Source organism: Homo sapiens, chromosome 2 (genome assembly GCF_000001405.40).
Source record: "Homo sapiens chromosome 2, GRCh38.p14 Primary Assembly".
In the NCBI taxonomy this organism is placed as follows: domain Eukaryota; kingdom Metazoa; phylum Chordata; class Mammalia; order Primates; family Hominidae; genus Homo; species Homo sapiens.
Window position 1 is genome coordinate 100,469,439 of NC_000002.12, and position 25,491 is coordinate 100,494,929.

General features: G+C 43.7%; 1 protein-coding gene and 1 long non-coding RNA gene across 3 annotated transcripts; one reads left to right on the forward strand and one right to left on the reverse strand.

Annotated features, from left to right (window-relative positions):
- Window positions 1-1,043: 1,043 nt before the first annotated feature.
- Window positions 1,044-13,842, forward strand: NMS (neuromedin S). Its single transcript, NM_001011717.1, has 10 exons — window positions 1,044-1,126; window positions 3,357-3,412; window positions 4,051-4,101; window positions 7,806-7,829; window positions 7,923-7,976; window positions 9,915-9,989; window positions 11,058-11,093; window positions 11,688-11,729; window positions 12,839-12,873; window positions 13,814-13,842. The coding sequence occupies exons 1-10, from the start codon at window positions 1,051-1,053 to the stop codon at window positions 13,824-13,826; spliced, it is 462 nt and encodes a 153-aa protein (NP_001011717.1). The 5' UTR covers window positions 1,044-1,050; the 3' UTR covers window positions 13,827-13,842.
- LOC105373506 (uncharacterized) lies at window positions 6,595-24,775 on the reverse strand. Of its 2 annotated transcripts, none has more exons than XR_923098.2 (5): window positions 24,626-24,775; window positions 23,950-24,069; window positions 18,570-18,851; window positions 7,228-7,360; window positions 6,595-6,677 (listed from the first exon to the last, which is right to left on the reverse strand). It is a non-coding gene; the product is annotated as an uncharacterized LOC105373506 (long non-coding RNA). The 2 variants fall into 2 exon arrangements; XR_923097.1 differs by having other exon boundaries at window positions 18,570-18,854; window positions 24,626-24,767.
- Between the last annotated feature and the right edge of the window lie 716 nt (window positions 24,776-25,491).

Genomic DNA, 25,491 nt, shown 5'->3' on the forward strand with positions numbered 1-25,491 from the left:
TATACTATGTATGTTGCCCTTTTTGCAAGAAATAGAAGACTTCAGTCTTTCTTCTTCTTTCTATCTGATGTCTAATCCCAAGGAAGCATGTTTAAAAAATTACTTATCAATTAAAATTCCATATTCTTACAGAAATGACTGGGCTCAGGTACCTTTGAGTCCAAATTTCTTCTCTGATCCTTGATAGCTGGATGACCTTGGACAAGTTTCTTCATCTTTCCTAGCCTCTGTTTCCTCATTCATAAAATTAGGGTAATAACACATTCCTAATAGATTTTCTGTGAGAATTACATGAAATAACCTATGTGAAATGCCTAAAACAGATCCCAACATGTAGAAGCTCAGTAGATGAAGTTATTTATTATTATTAAACATTGTCATGTTTTCCTGAATACTGACAATTTGAAATATTTAACTTGTTCCTTAAAATGAATCTGGAAAGACCTTAAAGAGGCTAATTTCCAGCCATGATCTAAAAAACAAACAGAGCCCCAATTGAACTTTAGATTTTTACAAATATTATACAGAAGACTCCAAATTTTGTCCTTCTTAAATGCACCAAGATAACACAACATCCTTTGTTAGAGGTGGAAAATAAACAGCTTCGTAGGAAACAAGACTTTATCAAGCAATAATTTAGAGATTTGTGTCCTTTTTTTATTTTATCTCTTTTATTAAAAAGAGAAAAAGCCATTCTTGATTCAGAAATATTTCTCAGATCATTATAGAATAACAATCAGGACTCTCCACCTTTTATTTTCATTGCTGGGTTGTAAAACATGGCTCTCTACAATGCCTACTCCAGAAAGATATTATTCTACAAATAAGGGCTCAGCATGACATTTATGAGAAAGCCGGGGTCCTCCTGTGCAAAGCTGATTGGTGATCAGCCAGTGGGTTCCGGGGCGCTGCAAATAAAGGCACTTTCTTCGCTGGGCTGATCAGATGCAGGACAGAGGGTTGCCTCTGCCTGTGGACCTTGGGGAAATGCGCGGCTCCTGTCCTAGCAGCACCTGTCTGTGGCCAGCAAGGAGAAACCAGACTCTCACAATGAAACATCTTCGTCCCCAGTTCCCTCTCATCTTGGCCATCTACTGCTTCTGCATGCTACAGATTCCCTCCTCAGGTAAGGGGAGCTTCCTCAGACTCCATCTGGCCTAAACTCTGAGGATGTCTGAGACAGACCTTGATCCCCCAGGGCAGCTCTGGAGGGAGTCAAGCTTTATTCTCCCCCGCCAGACCTTCTTGATTTCTGGCTGCAATTTGTTGGAACCTTTAGGAGAGGATCAAGAGAGCGAGATGCTGCAGCCTTTTACTAAAGGAGACTTTTCCCTGTGGGACTGTCTTTAAGCTGCTCCTGCCCTAGGGATGTCCTGAACATGTGTCGCTAAAACTGAAGGGAAAGGCACTTCCTGGTGTGAGTTAGGGGAAGATCCCACTTGTAGCCATTTCTGCTCCCTGGATTCTGAAGAGACGAGGACAGAGTTGGTAAAACTGAGCTTACAGCCCCAGAGAGTGGAAATTGATGGGCAGTTCGAGAAGGGCGCGGGAGGAGCGCACACTGGAAAAAGGAATCTTTCCCAAGCCTTTCCATTGGGTTTTAGAGAAGCAGGGTTCCAGAGTGTACCGGAAGCCGCTACCTCCCGGGGCCAGTGAGCTGTCCGAGGTGCTGACCGGGTGCGGGCATCGCCTCACCGACTCTGAGAACTAGCTTCTAGGGAACAGGGGTGGAGTGAGGGTCTGTGGTTGGAATCTGTTACCACCATCTTCATAGGATGCAGGGAAGTGGGCGGTGGCAGAACAACTACGGTTGGAAACACATACCATTTTACATTTTTCCATTAGAATTTTGACTTAGGGGAGTAGAAAATCTTTGGTAATATATTGACAGAGAAAACATATTTCAAACAATATGTTTGTTTGTCATGTCCTACAATGTAATCACAAAACTGGGCCTTGCAAAGGACCATGAAGGTCATCTGGTTTAACCTCTCACAGGGTGCAGGGATCCCTTCTGTAGCTTCCCGATTCTATTTAACTACTTCAATGACCCCAACTCACTGCCAGCTATGACAGCCAGGTTCTGCCTCTTTGCTCCAGTAGAGTCCTGTTTATATTACATTTTTGTAAATATGTTATTACCTTTTATGTATCTTTCTATATGTTTATACTCACCTCCCTATTTTTTCCTGTTTGACTTTATGTTCCCTGAGGGTAAGTCTTTACGTTTTATTAGCAAAGAACCTCTCCATAAATCCTTATAGGATTGGTTTGCATTACTTTGCATTATTGAATGATTCCAATCACCAAAAACTTCTTTAGGCTAAGCTTAAGTGTGATCACATGTAACTTTCTAACCGTCAGTCTTTATTCTGTTATTTGGGGGAAACACAGGATAAGACTAATATCTCTTACTTATTGAAGTTCTCAAAATAGTTGAAAGCAGTTAACATATACTTCCTAATTTTCCTGTTTCCAGAGAAAACTATGCTCAGTGCCTTTACCTCATATCTTATCATTTCAAGTCAGGCTATTATCTTTTAAGGTTTAGGCACTGTTATTTGAATATAACATAACATTGCCTTTGCTTTATCTTGGCTCAGAGAGAACGCAGGGAACAAAATACCATACAATTTTCTTTTGTCTTGTTTTTAAACATAAACTGCTCTTGAGCCATACATTCCCTGTTCCACACATTAAAAATCTAAGTGCCAGGTTTTATATTTATCCATCTAATTTCATCTTGTTAGTTTTGACCTATCCAATTGATTCTTTCGACTGCACTATAGCTATCCCACCAAGTGTTGTATCACAGGCAAGTGAGAAGAGGAGTTCATTGAAGTTAGACAAAAGGTTGACAGGGTCCAGCTGCATGCCAGCAGCCTTCCCCAGAGCCCATCCCTAGAGAGTCTGTAGCAGCAGAGAGACGGGTATCCATGTGTCTTCAAAGTTCAAAGGTGATTCTGATGTCCATCCTTTGTTGACACCATTTTCTGAGATGCCATCCTCATGAATTCTATCAAAATACAAACTAAGTTGTTACCTTGGATTTTTTTCCTCCTCTTTGCTGACTTGCTAATAGTTGTACTGAACACTCATGGTAAATTAACAACCATGCTATTTTAAATTAATCTTTGTATAAATCTCAGATTTGCTAGTGGCAAGTAGAAGTGTATTTTCTTTGTAAATCCTTTTAACAACATCAGATCAGATCTTACTTTCCCACTGACCTCTTTTGAATGGTTCTTTGGTGGTTTATTATTTTAACAGAATGTCTGTTTTTCATGATAAAGACTTTGAAGTAAATGCTATGACCTCTTTTCTCTAATTAATAATTTTATGATTTCTCACAATAGGATTTCCTCAACCTTTAGCTGATCCTTCAGATGGCTTGGATATTGTGCAGCTTGAGGTACCCAATTATTCAGTAATGTGAGATTTTTGTTTAGTCTGGACCTTGAATACATCATGTGTATAATGTTCACTTAAAACTATTTTGAGATCAGATTTTTGGCTGCAGCAGAAACTCACTGTTGCCATTTTTCATGGCCTCATTTAAGGCATCCTGAGGGTTGTGTTGAAATTCACTACCACTGTGTGAGAAAATAATGTGAGGTTCAGAAATAGGACAATTTTAGAATTTTAAATCTGTTGTAATAAAATTCTGCTGACTGAAGAATTTAAGCTTATCTTTGATTCGTTGTCTAAATTTTAAATGCATAATAGATGTACATACTTTCAGGGTACATGTGATATTCTGATACTTTCATATAGTGTGTTACAACCAAGTTGGGGGAAATGGAATATCGATGGATATTAAACATTTACCTTAAATAGTTACATTTTCTTTATGCTGGGAGCATTTGAATTATTCTCTATTAGCTATTTTGAGATATCCCATAGATTATGGTTTATACTATAGTCACTCTACTGAATTATCAAACACCAGGCCTTGTTTCTTCTATCTAATTGTATTTGATTACCCATTAATCAATCTCTCTCTTCATCCCCCTCATCCCTTTGATTTGTTTTCTTCATTTTATTTTTTAGCAGCTGGCATATTGTCTGAGTCAGTGGGCACCTCTTTCTCGCCAACCTAAGGTAAAAAAATGTGTATATATATAATATATATAAAATATATATATATGCAACAAACACACTCTTTTGCTACCTACAGGAGAATGCTGTATGTATGTGCATGCTTATGTGTGTTCAAGAATATAATTTTAGAAAAAATCAAGCAAATATCTTAAATATAAATATGTTAAATATCTTAAGTATCTTCAATATAAATTACTATAAAATATGGGTAGTTCATGTATATTCTTACAATTATTATAATCATGTATAGTTAAGCTAATTATATGTTATGATATATTGCATATTACAAATTGATATACCATGATATAGCAGTTCTCCAAAACAATAGTTATCATTTAAAAGACTTTACAGTAACTAGTTGGGCCTGGTGGCTCACACCTGTAATCCCAGCACTTTGGGAGGCCGAGCTGGGCAGATCACTTGAGGCCAGGAGCTTGAGTCCAGCCTGGCCAACAAGGTGAAACCATGTCTCTACTAAAACTACAAAAATTAGCCGGGCAAGGTGGCGCATACCTGTAATCCCAGCTACTCAGGAGAATTGCTTGAACCCGGGAGGCGGAGGTTGCAGTGAGCCGAGATCATGCCACCACACTCCAGCCTGGGTGACAGAGCAAGACTCTATCTCACCAAAATGAAAACAAAAAACTTTACAGTAACTGTAGTAACCACACAAATATTTCAATGGATATAAAGTAAGTTGATTTACTTGAAGGTACAAAAGGGTGGTAGGATAGCCCATGATGCCTAGGATAGCCTCCATAATTTCACCTTGAGCCACATCTCTTTATCCCTCACCTCCCCCAACCCACAGCACACTATGCTCCAGCCACAGTGAATCTATCAGTGAATCTATCAGTATTCCCCAAATGCACCAGGCCCTTGACGTCCTTGCACAATCTTTTCCTTAGTCAGAAATGACTTTGCCTCCTTCACAGGCTGCAGTTAACAATCCAGACTCTAAAACAAAAATACCTGGTTTCAAAATCCAGCTCTGTTTAAACTTGGTAGTTTCTTAGTTGCTCTGTGCCTCAGTTTTGTCATCTGTAGTATAGGGGTAATTGTCATAGTATCCCAGAATGCTGTTGTAAGGATTAAATGCTTCATATTTGTGAAGTGCTTTCAACAGCATCCAGAACGTGGTAAATGACAGCACTTAAGTGCTAGTTGTTGCCATTGCCTGTTAATGCAACTAATTCTCATTCTTCAAGACTCAAACATCAGTTTCTCAAATTTCATGAATACATCAGGCCCATTTCTTCTTATTTTTGGTTTACTATGCATATGTTTGAAGGCAATTGTTAGCTCTCATTTTCAAGAATAATCTTTACAGCCTTGGACCTGGAGCAAAAATTCAGGCTGAAAACTCAGAGTTCTTCATCCCTTTGTTACTTCCTCCACATGTTGCACAAAAGGGATTTCCCTATCCCTCAGGTGAAGACTGGGGGTGTCCTCTGCACCAGCAGAGGCAGTGGAAGTAGTGTGGCTGTCCCATGCTCAACCTGCAGTATTAAATTGGGTTATGAGGATCCCCAAGAGCAAGGGCCCACTAGGAATGAATTTCCTTCCATCTTCTCCATTTTTCCAAGTCTATCCCATTCATTGTTTCCAACTGCAGAAGAGCAAGGGGTCACTCAGTGAACAAAACTGCCAATATTTAAAGGCATTAATAGAGAAACTGGCTCTTCCTGGCTTGTTGCTTCCCTGAAATGTGACTTTTGGCATGTCACTTCGTCTCTTGGGGCTTTGGTTTCCTCAACTGCCCAAAGTCTGGATGTGTTGCTGGAGCTCTAAGTTCACTCCTGTTCTGGTTTCCAGAATAGGCCAAGTCTGTGACTCCAGGAGACCTTTAAATCAAGACAATTCAGAAAGCAGTCACATTCTGCAAATGATGACATCCACAAAACTCTTCATGTTTCGTGTTTCTGGTCACCACATGGGATTAGAAGACGTTTCAACTGGGAAAACTGCAATAAGTTCTTGTGAACAGGGCTCTACCATTCACTCATTCAAAATATATATTTATTGACAGCATGCCACGGACCAGGTGCTAGGGATGGGGTAGTAAAACAAACTGAGCACCTGCTCTCATGGCATTTGTATACTAGTTGGGAAAATGAATAATAAACAACATAGATCAGTAAACTTTGAAATAATTTTTTCTCTAAAAAGAAAAAAGTAGGCCGGGTGTGGTGGCTCATGCCTGTAATCCCAGAACTTTGGGAGGCTGAGACGGGCAGATCACTTGAGGTCAGGAGTTCGAGACCAGCTTGGGCAACATGGTAAAGCCCGTCTCTACTAAAAATACAAAAGTTAGCCAGGCGTGGTGGCGTGTGCCTGTAATCCCAGCTACTCAGGAGGCTGAGGCAGGAGAATCGCTTGAACCTGGGAGGTGGAGGCTGCAGTGAGCCAATATTGTACCACTGCACTCAAGCCTGGGTGATGGAGCGAGACCCTATCTCCAAAAAAAAAAAAGAAAAGAAAAGAAAAGAAAAAAGTAAAGTAAGGGGCATATGAAACGTTGAGCCGGGTATTTAGCACCAGGAAAAGCATCTTCACATTCCTCATTAATTTTTGACCTGAAAAGTAAACATAACAGTATACAGCTGATGAATGTGGTACAAAAAACAATTGTTTGCCCAATAAGTGTCCATAAACACACACACACACTGTTGTGAACAGATGCTGACAAGAAGACCAGGAGCTGTAAAAATAGCAAGTACTTTCTGCTAGTTAAAAATGGTGATTATAAGGAAATAGAGTTAATTGCCACAGAGCCTCCACTACTGGTAATGTTGGTGGATTACAGTGTGTGTCTGTGTGTGTGTGCTCATGTTTGTGCATCCACACATATGTACATGGTAGAGAGAGAGGATGCATAGGTATTGCTCTCTTCCACTGAAGAAATTCTCCACAAAGTTTGCAGAAAGATGTAATTGTATTCACAATTATTATTAAAGTATTATTAACAACTTTAATTTTTGTCTTGATTGAGGTTTCAGCAGATTCAAAAATCTTTAAGCATGAGTGAGATGTGAATGATCAGTACGAACCAGATCAGAAGATTTAAATGATTGTTCACAGTAATCATCTCTTGTGACTTTATAAAACATGGACATGAACACTTACGCTATGGTTTTGTAAGAAGTCTTCTTCCCGGCATCTCCTTGAGTCAGATAAGCGCACATGCAGCCATCATCTACGCAAGCCAGGGCTGAGGTGCGTGCACTGGCAAGGATTTAGAAACGGAAAATTGGACTTTCTGCAAGGATAGCAAAAATTCATGTAGAAAGCTTTTGGAGAAAAAGAAGCTTGACCAATATGAACTATAAAAACTGAATACTAGAATACACTCTGCGGCAAATTAAAAACTGTAATAGTTAGTTTATTCCACCTGTAGTCAGATGGTTATTTGCTTCTATGCATCAGAGAGTAGGTCTCTCCTCCCCACGCCCTGCAAACTGAAAAGATGAAATGAGATTATATTTTCACATGATGATGTATTGCTGGCAATTTTCCTTATTGTAAGATCCTGCATCAACTATAGACTCATTAAATTTACGTAATAATTTCTTTTTAGATTGCCAATTTATCATAATAGTCAGGTAAATCCACTAAGGTCCATGGTGTACCTTATACAGAAAACGTTATCCGTTACCTGCCCCTGTAAAATTTCATCTAACTTACCCTCACAATTCTCTTTCCAGGATAATCAAGACATATACAAAAGGGTGAGTACCACCTAGCCCTGTACAAGTGCATGCAGCTTCCATGTTTAGAGCAAGTGACACTCGATACTAATATCACTTTCTTTTCTTATTTAGTTTTTGTTTCACTACTCCAGAACTCAGGAGGCAACACATCCAGTTAAAACTGGGGTCAGTATTTTATTATAATCATCTGTCTGTAAAAGTGGCTCTCCTCTGCATGTCGTCCATCCTTTCTTAATATGTGCAGACAAGTAGAAAAGCTGGGGGCTCCGGACATCCTCTGGGTAGTAGCTTCCCAGGGGCTTTTCCCTGGGGCTGCAGGGATTCTCTTTCTCCCTCTGGGCTGGGGGTGGTAGGTGGCCAACTGATCTGAGAAGTTAGAGAATAAATTACTGAAAAGGAAAAATAAGTAGGAAATAACCTCTTATTATGCACTTAAACAGAGGTAAGGAAGAGCCTGGTAAACACTGTGCTCTCTTTACATTGTTTTTTCTTGCCATCTGTTTTTAAGTTTGTGCTTTGTGATGTGTATGGTACCATCCCCCAGTGGTGATCCATGGATGAACATCTTCCGTGGCTGTCGCGATGTGTATGTGCAAAGGGAATAGAAACCATCACCTCTTAATTTCTTCCTACAGATTTGAGTTACCCTCGAAAGCAGCTTGTGTAGGTGAATTTCTATGGGGTATGATTTGAGGAATATTGGAGAGGCCATAGAATATATATATATATTTGAGAAGAGTCTTGCTCTGTCGCCCAGGCTGGAGTGCAGGGGCGCCATCTCAGCTTACTGCAACCTCCGCCTCCGGGGTTCAAGTGATTGTCCTGTCTCAGCCTCCCAAGTAGCTGGGATTACAGGCATGCGCCACCATGCCTGGCTAATGTTTGTATTTTTAGTAGACATGGGGTTTCACCATGTTGGCCAGGCTGGTCTAAAACTCCTGACCTCAGGCCATCCACCTGCCTTGGCCTCCCAAAGTGCTGGGATTACAGGCGTGAGCCACCATGCCCAGCCAGAATATAACTTTTAATTCAGGTACCCTGTCATAGCAAGTAAAACTCTACCACTAGAAAGTCTCTTATTTATATGTTCAAGGCTCTCCAAGTCTTAAGAGGATCCTTAAAAAAGCAAATAACCAGGAAAAAAATGTTTCCCCTAAGAATCAATCAGTATTATAGATGTAGGAATAGGGCTCAGGTAAGGAGGGGGAATTTTTTTGTTTGTTTGTTTTTTTGACGGAGTTTCACTCTTGTTGCCCAGGCTGGAGTGCAATGGCACGATCTCAGCTCACTGCAATCTCCGCCTCCCGGCTTCAAGCCATGATCTCTTGCCTTAGCCTCCCAAGTAGCTGGGACTACAAGCACGTGCCACCACACCTGGCTAATTTCTTATTTTTAATAAAGACGGGGTTTCACCATGTTGGCCAAGCTGGTCTTGAACTGCTGACCTCAGGTGATCCACCCACATTGGCCTCCCAAATTGCTTGGCCTCCCACTGCACCTGGCCAAGGAGGGGAATATTATCAAGACCAACAAGGGCACATGAAAGGAGAAAGAACAATGGAAAACAAACAAACAAAAAAACTGTAACACAAATCAAATTTTACTCTAAACCAAAGTACACAGGGAGGATTCACAAGGACTAGATGAGGATAGGCGTGTACACCTGGGTACGCACGGCAGTCACAGACAAGATTAGGAAATCAGAAGTGCTTGGGGAGGGTTACGGGGGCTGCCCTCCACCTTTTCCCTTGGATGAGGAGCTCACCCCTGGAGAGGGAGAAAGAATACATGTGGAGCTGCTTCTAGGACAAGGCGCTCCGCTCCAGGAGCAGAGTGCTGAGGGTTAATGCAGAGAAAAGTCCGATTTACCCTAAGGGAATATTTTTAAGGGCTGTGTTGGAATTGAAACCTGTTCTCACGGCAAGCGGCTCTTTATTGAAAACATAAAATTTCAGGCTTTGGCTCAAAAATGGGTTTTACTCTGAAAATTAAACCCATTTGTAAGGGAAGTGAGTAGAAAGAAATGCGCATAGCCCTGGGCTCTCAAAATACCCCTCTGTGGATGTCCCCCTGTCTGACCCTCTCCGCGCCTGTCTGTTGCAGTTTCCTCCAGTGCATCCTCTAATGCACCTGGCTGCCAAGCTCGCCAACAGGCGGATGAAGAGAATTCTGCAGCGAGTACGTGCTTTTATTCTTCCACCATAGTTTATGCCCCTCACAGTTCATTGAATCGTGGTAAAAGCATGCTGTCACCTTGGGGCTTGCTGTCATTCTCTCCTCAAATCTTAGTCTCCACCTTGGCAGGGAGCACTGAGCAGAACTGCTGGTCCTTTGACCTCCCCGGGCCTCAGTTTCCTCCACTGAAACCCCATGAGGTGGTTTGAAGGGCCCGGGGAGAGACCCCATGGCCCAGCCTGCTTCCATCCCTCTCCTCTTCTGCTCCTTTCATCCCTAAGTTGTGTCTTGGTTTTGTACTTTTTTTTTCACTTCCCCTGTCTCTTTCTCCTGACACGAAACGCCCTGGCGATATCTTCTGCTTCCCATTGCCCTAGGTGCCCGTTGTCCATTTCTCAGAGCTTTCTTCTTTCATTTTTATTTTTTAATTTAGAAATTACCAGCTGAACCTTTTCAATGGTAATCAAAGTTTTGTTTCATGGTAGCAAAAATAAATAAACAAATAGCAAGAGAGAAAATTTATTTTGAACACCCTGCCCAGGTAGAGTGACCAGCTATCCCAGTTTGTCCAGGACTTTCCTAGTTTTAGCTCTGAAAATCCCAGGGCCCCTAGTACCTGGAAAACTGGTTGGCCATCCTGGGCACCAGCAGCAGTTTGTCTGACCCCCTGCTAACCGCAAGCCTCCAGGTCCAGTCTGATTCCATTCTTACACCAGTTTCACAGGCAATGAACAAGCTGAAGAAGCTAAAATGGCTAATCCTTTAAAAGTTTCCTAAGCTTTGCAATGTGCCCATTTCGAAGTTGGCGCTGTTAGGAGGAGCAAGCAAACTTAACGTACTTGGACACAGATGGTAACTCAGTCAAGACGACAAGCTTGCCTTCTTGAGCAGGAGCTTGCTAGAGAAGATCACGGCAGTGATCCCACCATTTGCCATGCTCTCCACCTCCTCTTTTGCACCAGACTTCTGACTATCTTAGAAGCAAGGCAGGGAGGGCAGGATCACTGCAAGACAACTGCAAGGTCATGATGTGGTTCCTGTTGAATTAACCTGTGCCTCATTTCCTTGCAGGGCTCGGGGACTGCTGCAGTGGACTTCACCAAGAAGGTACACAAGAGCCTTGGAGACTGCGACCCCCAAAGAAAGCCCTACCCGAGAAGGGTGGGGAAGTCCTTGGAGCCAGCCACCCTGCAGCCCCTCCAGACCAGTTCTGGGCAGAGCTGGTCTCCAAAGGACCCTGAGAATCTTTTGTGGCTGAGCAATTAAGTTCAGGTTTCCCTGGGGCAGACAGGAACCTTAGGGCAATGCCTCTGGCTGTTCATATTTCACCTCCAGCCCCAGAGATGAGTCCCCTGGAGCCAGCTACTACTGAGGCCTTGCTTTCTCTTGCTCAGGGGCCCACATGCCATTGTACAGACTCCAATAGAGGTACTGCCAGAGCACAAACCCCAAACACCGGTGGTTCTCAAACGTGGCCATGCATCAGAGTCACCTGGCTAAAATTCAGATTGCTTGGCCCCACCCCCAAAGATTCAGTGGGTCTGGATTGGGGCAAAGAGTTTGTATTTCTTACAAGTTCCCAGAGGTTGTTGGTGCCACTGGTCTGGGACCACCCATTTTGAAAACTGTTCCTATAGACATTTTTGAAGAACTTGTAATGCAATATGGTTGCATAATGGCTTGTGTTTCTATATGTTGCAGGATCACACTGCGACCTGGGGACGACCCTTTTTCCTTTTCAGGGTATAGCATGTTTTCTCACCTTTGCTTTCTAACCTCGATTCACTGCAGCCATCCCAATCATGGAGTGACTGCAAACAGCAGAGCCAGGACCCCTTGGTAAACTGGTGGATAATTGTGGAGACTCTCTCATCCTTCACTGGGAATCACTCCAAGTAAAAATCTCCTCCTACAATCTTGCAAAGGCAAGAGTCCAACAGGAGAGAGGCTGAGAGCACCAGAGTAGGCGTAAGGGAGTTCTTCTGACAGACAGACACAAGGTAGACCAGAATCTGAGCCCATGTTTTAGAGCATTAAGGTCTAGGATTCGTGACCCCAAAAACACATGGCAGGAGGAGCTTAGGCACCATCCTCTACTCCTTCCTGGGTGACAGAGATTCTTGCAAAGGTCACAGAGTCAGAAGAGTTATCTTTTAGATTTTGATCAGCCATTCACTAGCTGTGCTCCACCCTTGAGATTCTCAGTATTTGCACAGAAAAAATGAGCAAATCAGACTAGATCCATGCCCCCCAGAAACTGCATTCTGTGAATCACTGGCGCTAAAAAGTATTCTGCAAAAGTCAGCTAAGATTGGAAAACACTGCACCCGACATTTGTGATGTCTCACAATACACACTGGCCCATCACAGGCTGTAAGAAGTCCTGCAGAACACAACCTGTGTCACTTGGCTTAATCATTTGTTTCCCAAACATATGGACCATGGAGCTGCTTCCCACCACTCTCTCACTCCCATGGGTCTGTATGACCTACTCGTTTCCTAGAAAGTGCTTTGAGAAACAGTCCATCTCCTTGACGTCTCCAGACTGGGCAGTTCTGTGTTGGATGGTTTGTGGAACCTCCCACCACATAAGCAAAGACTAAAGGGGGGGGATGATGGGTGACAGTGTTGGGGTCCTAGGAGCAGTGAGGTTCCTGGAGCACTGTCCCAGAGGACCTACGGACTAGCGCTAGCACAGGGCGAGGGCTTCCCAGGTGAGTCCCCATGGAGGGGAGTGAAGTCCTAGTTAGAAGAATGAGGCCTTAGGGTTCAACAGAGAGAAGAGCGGAATCAAGATACAGGCTGCAGAAAGTTGTGTCTCAGTATTCATAAGTTGCTCCTTTTTTTTTCAGCCCAGGAATGGAAGAAACATTGAAGATGAGGCCCAGTAGGTAGTCCAAGATCAGCTTCATCACCCTTTTTCTCTTTCAAGCAAATTTTATGTGTCTGACTGGAGAGAGTGAGAGGCAGCCATGGGGAGGACCATTGTTCAAGAAATGAGGACCCTTCATAACCCCCAGGAACTCTGCCCCTTCCCTTTTCCTGCTCACAGGACCACAGAGACCCCCACCCCAGCCTAGCAGATGCAGGCTGTCTGGGCAATATTGCAGCCTTCACTTCCATGCCCAGCTCTTCGGAGGCATGTGGTCTCCAGCTGTCACTGCGATGGGGATGCAGGCTCATTGCAGCCCAGCTGGGCCCTCTGTGACTTCTCACCTGGCCCCCTTGATAAGGAAACACCACCCTGTCATGCTTGGATGGTGCACCAAGGAGTTCTGGAAGCTACCAGGCTCCCTACAGTGAGATCATTTCTAAGTACGGCCAGGCAAGGCTGTTTCCCCCTTCCAATGGTGCTCTGAGATCCAGAGTTTTAATCTGGAACGATTCCTTGGCCTTCAGGCCTGTGGAAGATGAAGTGAATGCTCAAGGGCAGCTCCGGGCCTCCTCTGTTTCTCATGGGGATGTGGTCCCAAGGAAATAAGGCTGCTGTCCAATGGATGCTGCCAGCAGGGGTCAGTAGTCAGGGTCCCAGCAGTCCAAGGCGTCTAAGAAAGCTGTTCCACTGCTGGGAAATGGCAGTACCCAGCAAACACAAAGCAAAGATGCTCCCTGAGGCCATAGTGCTTACACCAACCTAATGCCCTAATTAGATAGACCAAAAACAAATCTTGTAAGTACTGATTGTGGGGAAAGCAACCTGGGCATTTATGACACTTCAAACTGAGGTCTAATTGTAAAATATGTTACATAATAACCTGCCCATGGGCTTTGTCTTGATTCCGAGAATGATTTGAACTGAGCAGTGCATTTTTCTTTTCTTTTTTTAGGATTCAGTGGTGAAAGAAAGCTGGATCTGATGAGGCCTTCCAGGGATTATGTTGAACAAATATCAAATTTCTTTCCACGAACAATATTTAAAGATATTTCTCTTGCTCTATATTCACTAGATATTTAGCTTTATAAAAATAAAGTAGCATTGTGTGATACTGTGAAATATATATTTGGTCTTTGTCCATATTTCTTGACATACAAGTTCTAAAATTCTTGAAAATTTCAAAATGTTCAGTGTTTCTTTGTATGCTGATGATTGGCAGAGGCTGGCAGCCCCTAGGTGGCTTTGAGATGGGGCTGGTCACCAGGAAGACCAAGGCAGGACTAGAGGATTTGGACTTTCAGCCCAACCCCAATCTCCAGGGAGAAGAGACACTGAAAGTTCAGTTGGTCACCAATGGCCAATGTTTTAATCAGTCATGCCTATTGTGAAATTAAACAATTCAAACTTAAGGCTGTTAGAACTTTAAATGATTTGAGCCTTGAGAGAAATGTGACTGTGTGGCCTCAGTCGTGTAACATGCAGCTGCCACTTTGGCTTCTCCAATTATAGATGAACTCCCTTCCTTATTTTTTGTTCTGTAAAATGACTAAAAAAGACTGGATGACACCAGAGATAAGACCCCTCCGCTCTTAATTACTGACCTTTGTTAGAGATTAACTTCTTCCTTTATTGTCTTGCACTCAACTCAGACCAGATGACGCAGAAGACCCCATGACTATTACATCCTCAATGTGGGATGTTAAATACCCATCCCGAAAAAGAACACAGCCTATAACCAGTCCAGTTGTTGTAACTATGCACTAACCTTGTCCGGACAACGTTAAAATCCTATTGAACTTCCTGAAACCTTGCCAATATCAACAACCCTCAAACCTCTCCACTTCAGAATGCTGATTCCATTAGCCTGGAGTTGGCATTTCCAGGTGGCTATTCTCAAGCTTTGAGCTAAAATAGAATAAACTCTGTATTTAATCATATTTACTGAATCTCGTTATTTAAGGAGGACACTATGTAACCCCAAGCTTCCATAAAAACCCAAAAGGACAGGGTTTTAGATAGCTTTTAGATGGCTGGACACATGGAGGTTGCTGGAGGGTGGTATTTTCTCATCTGTATCCTTTGTAATACCTTTTATAATAAACTAGTAAATGTGTTTCCCTGAGTTCTATGAGCCACTCTAGCAAATTAGTCAAACTTCAGGAGGTGGTCATGGGAGCCCCAATTCATAGCCTGTTGGCCAGAAGCACAGGTAAAATAACCCGGGGCTTGTGGCTGGTGTTGGAAGTGGGGCATAGTCTTGGGGACTGAGCCCTGAACCTGTGGGATCTGACGCCATCTCCAGGTAGATGGTGTCGGAATTAAATTGGAGGGCACCAGCTGATATCTGCTGCAGAACTGATTGCTTGCTTGGAGGAAAACCCCACAGGCATTGGGTATGAGAGCAGAGGAAACACTGTTTTTTCCACTCACACTGACACGTTATTTTCATATCCTATTGGAAAGTCTTGGGGGATGGGAGGATCGGGTATATGATTTTTTTAATAATAGGACATATTTTTAAAATTCACCATCTTTGGCATTGGCTTAGCATGGCCTAGCTATCTATCTTGTTGTTATTGAGGACTGAGGGATGGGATTGGGATAGGCAGGATGGCTCCAGATCCTGACTCCTCTACTTTTAGCTGGGTGACCTTGGACAGGTCACTTCCCATTCCTGTGCCTCGGTTTCCTCTATGGTAAAATGGTGTTGGTATGGTAATCATAGTAACTTCTTCACATAGACTTTGTGAGGACTAAGAAGGTGGTCCATATGGGAGCATTTTGGCATGGTGGGACACAGTGAACAGTAAATAACCATTGGCTCTGATTATATTCAGATGGCTTTCATCACACAACGTGTACCAAAGGGACTCTAGGGCTGTTTCTTTATTGCTGACAGCATTAAGTTAAGGCACAGCAACCCCAGATTCTCTTAAGAAGCCACAAGGCTCATGTAATTGCCTGATGGGTTCTTCTTGCCCACTACACAGACAAAATAATTCACTGAAACAGGGGCATGGCAGTAGAGAAAGAGTTTAAGGCAGAGCAAGCCAAGTGGAAGCATCAGAGTTATTACTCAAATCAGTCTCCTCAAAGACTCAGAGTCTAGAGATTTTATGGATAATTTGGTGGGCAGGGGGCTAGGGAGTGGGTGCTGCTGGTTGGTTGAGGATGAAGTCATAGGGGTGTGGGAAAGGGTCCTCATGCTCTGAGTCAGCCTCTGGGTGGGGGACACAAGACCAGCTGAGTCATGAGTCATGGGTCTGGATGGGGTCAGTCAATTGCCAGAATGCAAAAGTCTGAAAAACATTTCAATCTGAGGTTCTACAATAGTGTCGTTATCTGTAGGAGCAATTGGGGAAGTCACAAATCTTGAGACCTCTGGCCACATGACTCCTGAGCAATAAGAAATTACAGAAATGACATTGACATTTTCGCAGAATTCATGCCCCTCATATAATCCTAATCTCATGGCAAGAAGGAGGTTAGTTTTAAGGAGAAACTATTATCCTTGCTTCAAAGTTAAACTATGGTCCTGGTGCAGTGGCTCATGCCTGTAATCCCAGCACTCTGGGAGGCCGAGGCAGGAGGATCACCTGAGGTCAGGAGTTTGAGACCAGCCTGGCCAATGTGGCAAAACCCTGCCTCTACTAAAAAATACAAAAATTAGCTGGGCGTGGTGGCACGCACCTGTAATCACAGCTACTTGGGAGGCTGAGGCATGAGAATTGCTTGAACCCAGGAGGTGGAGGTTGCAGTGAGCCAAGATTGCGCCATTGAACTCCAGCCTGGGCAACAGAACGAGACTCCATCTCAAAACAAGAATAACAACAACAACAAAAAGTTAAACTATGAACTAAATTCCTCCCACGGCTAGATTGGCCTATGCGTAGCAAAGAGTGAAGACAGCTAGCCTGTGGGGTTAGAAGCAAGATGGAGTCATCCATGCAAGATTTGTCTTACTGTCATAATCCTTGCAAAGGTGGTTTCACTCAGCCTTTCTTCTCAGCCTCCTCCTCTGTAAATATCTGTGTTTGCATTTGACTAGAAGGAGTCTAGAAGACCTCCCAAGATTATCCTATGGAGGAGATGAGGCAGAAGATGTGTGTTCAATGCAAGGAGGGACCCTAATGACATGACCTAAATCACACTGGCTATTCCTTCTTTTAACTTCTCAAGAGCTTCATCAAACTTAAAAGTCCTCCTTTTAAAATGTCAGTTAGAATTTGTTTTTGTATTTTAGCGTTTGTAAGCCTCTGTATTAAGTCCGAAGCCTATTTCTTGAATAGGATGTTTTAAGACCCCTCAGTAGATCTTGCCACACAGAGATGAGATGAGCAAACCTAGTTCTGCCTGGTATTTTTCTGAGTGCACGGGTGCAGGGGAGGGACCAAGCCACTGGCCCAGTGCTCAGCATTTGTAGGGAGCAGGTCGGGTTTGATGAACAGAGTACAGTGTTGGTGTGAGAAGCTGCTAACATCAGTCTTCAGAAACAATCTCAGGATTTGGGAGTTGACCAAAGATAGTAGTTTCTACCCCAAACAGAGCCTCAGAATCCTCTTTGCTAAACCAGTAATAATAAATCCCACCTCAATGGAGGGTCCATACCCTTGACACAAGGCCAGGGGGATGATGGTTAAAGAGAGTGGGGCAGGCCTAGGAGACCCCTGTTTCTCAGGAACACTATGTGAGCTAAAAACTCTTCCTTGGCAAAGCCTGTCTGTGATGCTAGGGAGCTGGAGACAGACTCTGCCTTCCCAGACATCACCTCACTCTTTTTTCCCACAGCAGTGTCCAGCAACACTCTACCAGTGCCAATGAATCCAGAGATGAAATGAGACTCTAATTGACAGTTTCTACACTGTGAGAACTGGGCCTCCCCACCTATGGAGCTGGGCTGCTTTTGGCCTGGTTTCCCATGAAAAGGAGCCTTATAAGGTTACTCTACCCTAGTGTCCTTTCTAATAAGTTTGAATCCAAGGCCCAGATTCAGTCACTGGATGGAGGATGCTCGCCTACTTAGTGCTGGCACTCACTTTACCAGGAGAGGCCACACCCCAGCCCATTGCACAGGGTCACGTTGTGGCCTTCAACAAGATCAGGGGTCCATGTCTGGCCAGGACAGAGCTGTGAAAGGGACTTCTTAGAACCTTGGAGTGGGCAGAGGTCTCATTGATCATTCAGCCCTGCCTTCTCATGGGCTGCCAAGGAAAAGAGCCCTGAAAGGCAAAGTGGCCTGCCCAAGGCCACACAGCAACAGGCAGCATGTCTAAGATGAAGCCTGGGTCTTTTGTTTAAAAACCTAGTTGCTTTTTCCACTGTAATATTACTATCCTGTATTATTTAATAGTTTTATAGGACTGTCATAACAAATAAACAAGACTTGGTGGCTTAAAACAAAAGCGATTTACTCTCTTACAGCTCTGGAGCCCAGAAGTCCAAAATCAAGGTGTTGGCAGGGCCACACTGTCCCTCGAAAACATCAAGGGAGAGTCTGGCCTTGCCTCGTCTACCTCTGGTGGCTCCAGCTGCTCCTCTCAACTCGTGGCAGCATCACTCCAGTCTCTGCCTTGCCCTCCCATGGCCTTCTCTCTGTGTCTGTGTCTGTGTCTTCTCCCTTTCACATCTCTTATAAAGACACTCATCACTGGATTTAGGCTCTGGCCTGATCTAGGATATTATCATCTTCAGGTCTCTCACTTAATTACCTTCGTAAAGATCTTTTTCTCAAAGAAGATCCATTCATAGATTCCATGGATTAGGTTGTGGACATATCTTTTGGGGGCCACAGCTCAAGCTGCATCTTTAGGATTACTCCTTGTTGTTCCCCTCTGGAGCTCAGAGTCCTTTTGCTGGCCCCTGTTCCAAGTGTCCTCTGCAGTCCCACATCCGGAGCCCATTCTTCCACTCTCTCTTTTCAAATAGGTCCGCTCAGTATCTCACTGGTGCAAACACTTATTCATTCATTCATTCTTTCAATATTTGAATGCCTGCTAGATACAAAGTGTATTAATCATTTATTTTTACTCTGTATTTTTGATGCTTTGCCATCTTGGGGACTTGCTGACCCTGGAGAGACTGCCCCTCCCAGGGATAATCCCTGGAAATGGCAAGCACCTTGCTTATGAATGTGCCTTTCAAATGCACACTAACCAATCCAGAGCCCATGTCCCCAACCACCTTCTCTATAAGGCTCTCACCCAGGGCCAGGTGCCAGACAACTAGGGACAGCCTCTATGCCCCTGAATTTGCTGAAGTTATTTAAACTAGCCAATGTCAAGCCCTCTTAAACTGGCTGGCTTGCTCCTTCCCATGAAAATCACAATAAAGGCTCTTGGCCATGTTTTCCTCCATTACTTCTGCCTCCCAACTGACCCTAGGACTTCCCCAAGTCCCCTCTACCCCTCTGCATGGCATGGTGGGCCCCTTCCTCTTGAGAACTTTGAGCCTGAGTATAACAATCTTTTCAATGGCAGTTGCCTCCTGATCTGTTGGCCTCACCATATCCGAATACTAATAAAACCTATAGTTTAAACCACCAATCCTGGCTGGGATAATGGAACTGCATAAGGTGTAGGTTGTGCTGTCACTCAAGCCAGTCCCGAGTGAAGCCCAATAGCTTATCGTGGGTGAGTGGGTACTCTTCTCCCTGTTATTCCCCAGAATCAGAAGGAGAAGAGACCTTGGAGACATTGGAGGACTTTGTAAATCCAAACCCATGGCCAGAGCAGATGGGCCCCCCAGTTCTGGTGGGGGTTATCCATGTTCTTCTTCAACATCTCTGGGGCAGGAGCTCACAGCTTCATGGGGCATTCACTTTGTCTTCAGACAGATAAAAACAGTGGGACTGTTCCCAGGAACCAAACTGACCTTTAGTGATCACTTTTCTTATTTCCATTTATTGAAAAATGTATTGTTTAATAATTCATTCTAGAAATTGTATCTTAACAGGGTACCCCTGGGTTCTTGGAAGAGATGTTTTGAGGTACAGGCCCTGGCCACTCCTTGCCCCAGACATCACACCCCAGAGAACCTCTCCCATATTCCAAAACGAAGACTGGCCTTGAACCAGCCTTAACACGAATTTTCAAAGGCACCTTGTTTGGGGGCAATTTCTACCTCCTCTGAATCTCCCCATAGACTGAGGATCCCTCCTGAAAGCAGCTCAAGGAGAACGTATAGAATTATATTCATACCAATGCAGTTAATACACAATTTTTCAGGAGTTGTGTGGCACAGGGAAGAAGAGTGGACCTTTTGCTCCCTCCCATTCCTGCTGTGCAACTCATCTGTATGTGACCTTAGGCTCTGGAGTCGGAAAGCCTGGGTTTAATCCTGGCTGTCAGACCTTGGTTAAATTTTCAACCTCCTTCTCCATCCTCAATTTCTATCACTTGTAATACTGTAAGAAGATTGCTACTGTTGGGAGACAATCCTCTATGGGTTTCCTGCATTTCTGCACACCTTGGGAGCAGAGACACTGATTTCCCTTTCTTCCTGTCTTTTCAAGGTTGTTTGTGCAGAGAATTGCCTTGGAAGATACAGACAATGTCTCCTTCCAGAGTAAAGGGCAAGGCATATTTACTGCCCATTAATCTGTTTGTTTGTTTGCTCGCTTGCTTTTTCTCTAGCTGCGTTTAAGATTTTTCTCTGATCTTTGGTTTTCAAAAGTTTTACTTCTATGGCTAATCTGTCTGGGCGTGACTTTGCTTGGAGTTCATAGGATGTCATATCTCTATTGCCTGATATATTTTGTCAGCTTTAAAAAATTCTCTGCCATTATTTCTGTAAATATTGATATTGATACTTTCTTTTTCTCCAATTACATTTATATTAGTTCTGTTCACTGCAATCTATCCATCCCCCACACTGTCTTGACTGCCTGGTGCTCATGATGAATATTTTCCTTTGATTTAACTTCCAGTTCACTAATTTCTATTTGGCTGTATATCTTATATTACTAGGACCACTGCTGTATTACTAATTTTGCTATTATATTTTTCTGTTACAGAATTTCTATTTGTTCATTTTATAATTTCTAGATTTCTGATTAAATTTTTCATCTTTTTTTCTCCTTTAACATAGAAAATTTTAGAGTCAGTTTCTGATAACTATATTATCTCCATCTCATTTATGTCAGTTTCTACTGTCTGCTATTTCTCTTATTTTTATTTATTATCCACTCTTACTCTTACAGTTCTTTAGGGTCCTAACTGAAATAGTTGAGAGTTTGTCATGGGTTCTCCCATTGCACACACTAGTCTGTAATTTTTACCCCTTCATCCCATGGGAGTGACATAAATTGCTGCCCAATTTTCAATATCACAACTACTTTTCCTGAAATCTTCAGACATCCCTAGAAGAGATGTACCAGCCCCAAAGACTCGGCTTTCCTTTCTGGGCCTATATGTCAATCAGATCTTGGTCCCATAAGTCTCCACTGCCACATTACTCTTTGTAATATCTAGGTACCAGAGAAAGTCTTGCAAAGTCCTTGAAGGCACAAGGACAAGAGTGTTCACATGGTTTGTTAAGCAAAAGGGTTATTAAGAACTCAGATGTCCTTTAACAAGACAAGAGATGAATAAATGCTGTGTTATTCATAGAAATCAAATGTATAGAGTAGTGACAATGAATGAACCATTTGCATGAAGTTAGACGAGCCTTAAAATCATGATGTTGAGTGAAACAAGCAGGATGCTTTTTACAGCAAGATAACATTTATATAAGTTCAGCACCTTGGTGAGGATAAACATCAAATTTAGGAGATCAGTGACTCCTGGGAAGACTGATACAAACCAGAAAGGCTACAGAGGGGCTTCAACTATACTGGAAATTTTTTTTCTTAAAGTGGTGGCAGGTACCTTGGATGTCAATTGTGTAAAAAGTAAGAATTTATATATGAAGAAAATAATTTATAAGAAAACACAGGAAGAGGCCAGGCACGGTGGCTCATGACTGTAATCCCAGCACTTTGGGAGGCTGAGGCGGGAGGATCACAAGGTCAGGAGATCGAGACCATCCTGGCCAACGTGGTGAAACCCTGTCTCTACTAAAATACAAAAAAAAAAAAATTATCCAGGCATGCGCCTGTAGTCCCAGCTACTCAGGAGGCTGAGGCAGGGGAATCGCTTGAACCTGGGAGGTGGAGGTTGCAGTGAGCTGAGATCGCACCACTGCACTCCAGCCTGGTGACAGAGCGAGACTCTGTCTCAAAAAAAAAAAAAGAAAACACAGGAAGAGATTGTGTCCAGGAGAATCAAGGAGAGAGGTGGTTCTTGAAGTGGTCCTTTGAGGATCCATAGGATGCCCATCTATGGTGATGGAAGAGAGAGTGTCCCTAACAAAGAGGATAACACAAAGATAGGGAAGTGGCACTATACAGGGTATGCTCCAGGGACAAGTATACTGGTCTGACCAGAGGGCAGAGGGCATAGCAGAGGGGTCTTCATGCCTTCTTCCACTACAAACCTCCTTCACCCTAACCCAAACACACATACACACACACAACCAAGAAACAGACTGACTGGGTTCAAATTCCACCTTTGCCTCTTACTATCATCATTCTGTGCCTCAGTTTCCTCACCATTAATATGAGCATAATAAGAGAAACCACCTTGCAGGGTTGATTTTTGTTGTTGTTGTTCGTTTGTTTGTTTGTTTGAGATGGAATCTCCCTCTGTCACCCAGGTTGGAGTGCAATGGCACAATTTCAGCTCACTGCAAACTCTGCCTCCCAGGTTCAAGCAATTCTTGTGCCTCAGCCTCCCAAATAGCTAGGATTACAGGTGCATGCCACCACTCCTGGCTAATTTTTGTATTTTTAGTAGAGATGGGTTTTCGCCATGATGGCCAGGCTGGTCTCGAACTCCTGACCTCAAGTGCTCTGCCCGCCTTGGCCTCCCAAAGTGCTGGGATTACAAGCAGGAGCCACCGTGCCTGGCCAAATGAGCTAATTCTTGTTAATAATTTATTTAGACAGTGCTTGGCACCTCCTAAGTACTCAGTGCTCATTGTTGATTTTCATTATTATTATTACAGCATGAGCAAATGTTCTACTCAGGGACAATCTTCTACCTGTAGTAAGCAGGTTGCTGTGACTGGGCTCTGAAATCTCTCCCTCTTCTGCATCAAATTAGTGATTAGCCTTTGAGTACACTAGAGGTCTAAGAGCTGGGTTAGGGGCTCAGCTCTGTCATTGACAACTACCTGTGTGATCTTGGAAAACTTACTTAACTTTTCTGAGCCTCAGTTTACTCATCTGTAAGATGGGGCAAATGATAGCATCTACAACATAAGCCTGATATTATGATTAAACATGTTGCCTGTGCAATATGGCAAAACCTTGTCTCTACCAAAAATATAAAAAACTAGCCAGGGGCCAGGTCATGGTGGCTCACGCCTGTAATCCCAGCACTTTGGGTGGCCAAGGCAGGTGGATCACTTGAGGTCAGGAGTTTGAGACCAGCCAAGTCAACATGGCAAAACCTTGTCTCTACTAAAAATACAAAAATTACCTGGGCTTTGTGGTGCATGCCGCAATCCCATCTACCCAGGAGGCTGAGGCAGGAGAATCGCTTGAACCCAGGAGATGGAGGTTGCAGTGAGCCAAGATCATGCCACTGCATTCCAGCCTGGGCAACAGAGTGAGACTCTGTTTCAATTTAAAAAAAAAGAAGAAGAAGAAACTAGCCAGGCGTGGCGCCATGTGCCTGTAGTCTGTTCTACTTGGGAGGCTGAGGTGGGAGGATTGCTTGAGCCTCAGAGGCAGAGGTTGCAGTGAGCTGAGATCATGCCACTGCACTCCAGCCTCGGTGACAGTGAGACCCCAACTCAAAAAAAAAAAAAAGAATGAATATAAGTTCTCAGTAAGTGTGCTGTATGTGCAATTACAAACATATCCACACACACTAATGCCGCATCACAGATATTTTGCCTTGAGTTTCCATTTCTGGAAGCCTGGAATAGTTATGTTTCCTGAGTATGTACTCTTTCAGGCATGGTAGTGGGTACTCCCACAGTCCTGCTAAGTAGTATTAGAGTAATGCTAGTTACTGCCACATAAACCATGAGATCTGAGTGACTTACCCCAGCAGAGTTTTATTTCCATCACTCACATGGTCTCCTGCAGGCATGTCTGGTTATTCAGAGTCTGGATCCTTCTGCCTTATAGGCTCTGCTCAAGATTGGCTCCAGGGCCAGTGAGTTCTCAACAGTGTAGTGAGAGGATAGGGAGAGAAGGCAGTATGTCAGGAAAGAGAATTTCTATGGACCAGGCTATTTTTTTTTTTTTTTTTTGAGACGGAGTTTCTCTCCGTTGCCCAGGCTGGAGTGCAGTGACACGATTCGGCTCACTGCAAGCTCTGCCTCCTGGATTCACACCATTCTCCTGCCTCAGCCTCCCCAGTAGCTGGGACTACAGACGCCCGCCACCACGCCTGGCTAATTTTTCTGTATTTTTAGTAGAGACAGGGTTTCACCGTGTTAGCCAGGATGGTCTCGATCTCCTGACATCGTGATCTACCCACCTCGGCCTCCCAAAGTGCTGGGATTACAGGCGTGAGCCACCACATCCGGCCCAGGCTATTTCTTTTACTAGAACACAGTCTATAACTGTGTCTGACTGCAAATGAAGCTGGAAATGCAATCTACCTGTGTGACCTGGAAGGAGAGGCCAAGCTGGCAGAGAGCTAGCTAGTCTCTGCTGTAGTGGGAGTATTATCCCTAGGGGATAAGAAATCTTAGACTTACAGAAATTACATACTTGCTCAAGGTCTTTCACTAAATGGCAGAGTCAGACTTCAAACCCAGGTCCCACTGGCTTCAATATCTGTAGCTTGTCACCATCTAAGCTGTCTCACAGGGGCACAGAATTATCCCTGGGCTGAGTCCCGCAATCAGATGGGATGAAGGTACAGGGCCCAGTTGGATGTGAAATCACAAAGCCACAATCCCTATCATCAGAGTCATTGAATTGTTAGGTGGAGGTGATGTACCTTGTGTAAGAGCACAACAAGGCAAGGGTTTGCCACAGCCAGGTAAAGCCAGGGTGGCATCTAATGTGGGGCTGAAAAGAAGTCCCAGTGGGCAGCATATTTGGGGGAGGTTAAGAAGGGACCCTCCTCCACTTTTGCTGAGGGTTTCAGATTATTTCCCTACCCAACATTCTTCAGAAAGTCTGGCTTCCTGAGTCTTTCTAAAGGTATTTACCTTGTGTAAGATAAGAAAGAAAACAAGCATGCATGCCCTGAACCAACCCCTTTGGAGAGTTGGAAAAATTCCACTTGTGAACAATTTTATTTGTACTCAATTCTCTGATTCCTTTGCTAACTCTTGGTATTTCAGTTTACTATTAAGCCCATCAACTTGCCTCAAGAGATTAAGTCACAATCAATAGGAACTGAAGGAAAAGATGGTAGGAGTTATTTTATTTAGATAGTTCATCTCTGTCTTCTGGATGTTGGTGAAATGGAATTTAGGAAATTGTTCTAATAAAGCAAAGCTCAGGGGAGGAAGCTTTCAGCACATGGCAGCAACACAGATGCTGGGTCACTGGGCCGCCAGCTGGTAGACCACGCGGCTGCAGACTCAGAAGGGGAGGTGGCTGAGGGAAGCACTCCCATTTGTAAG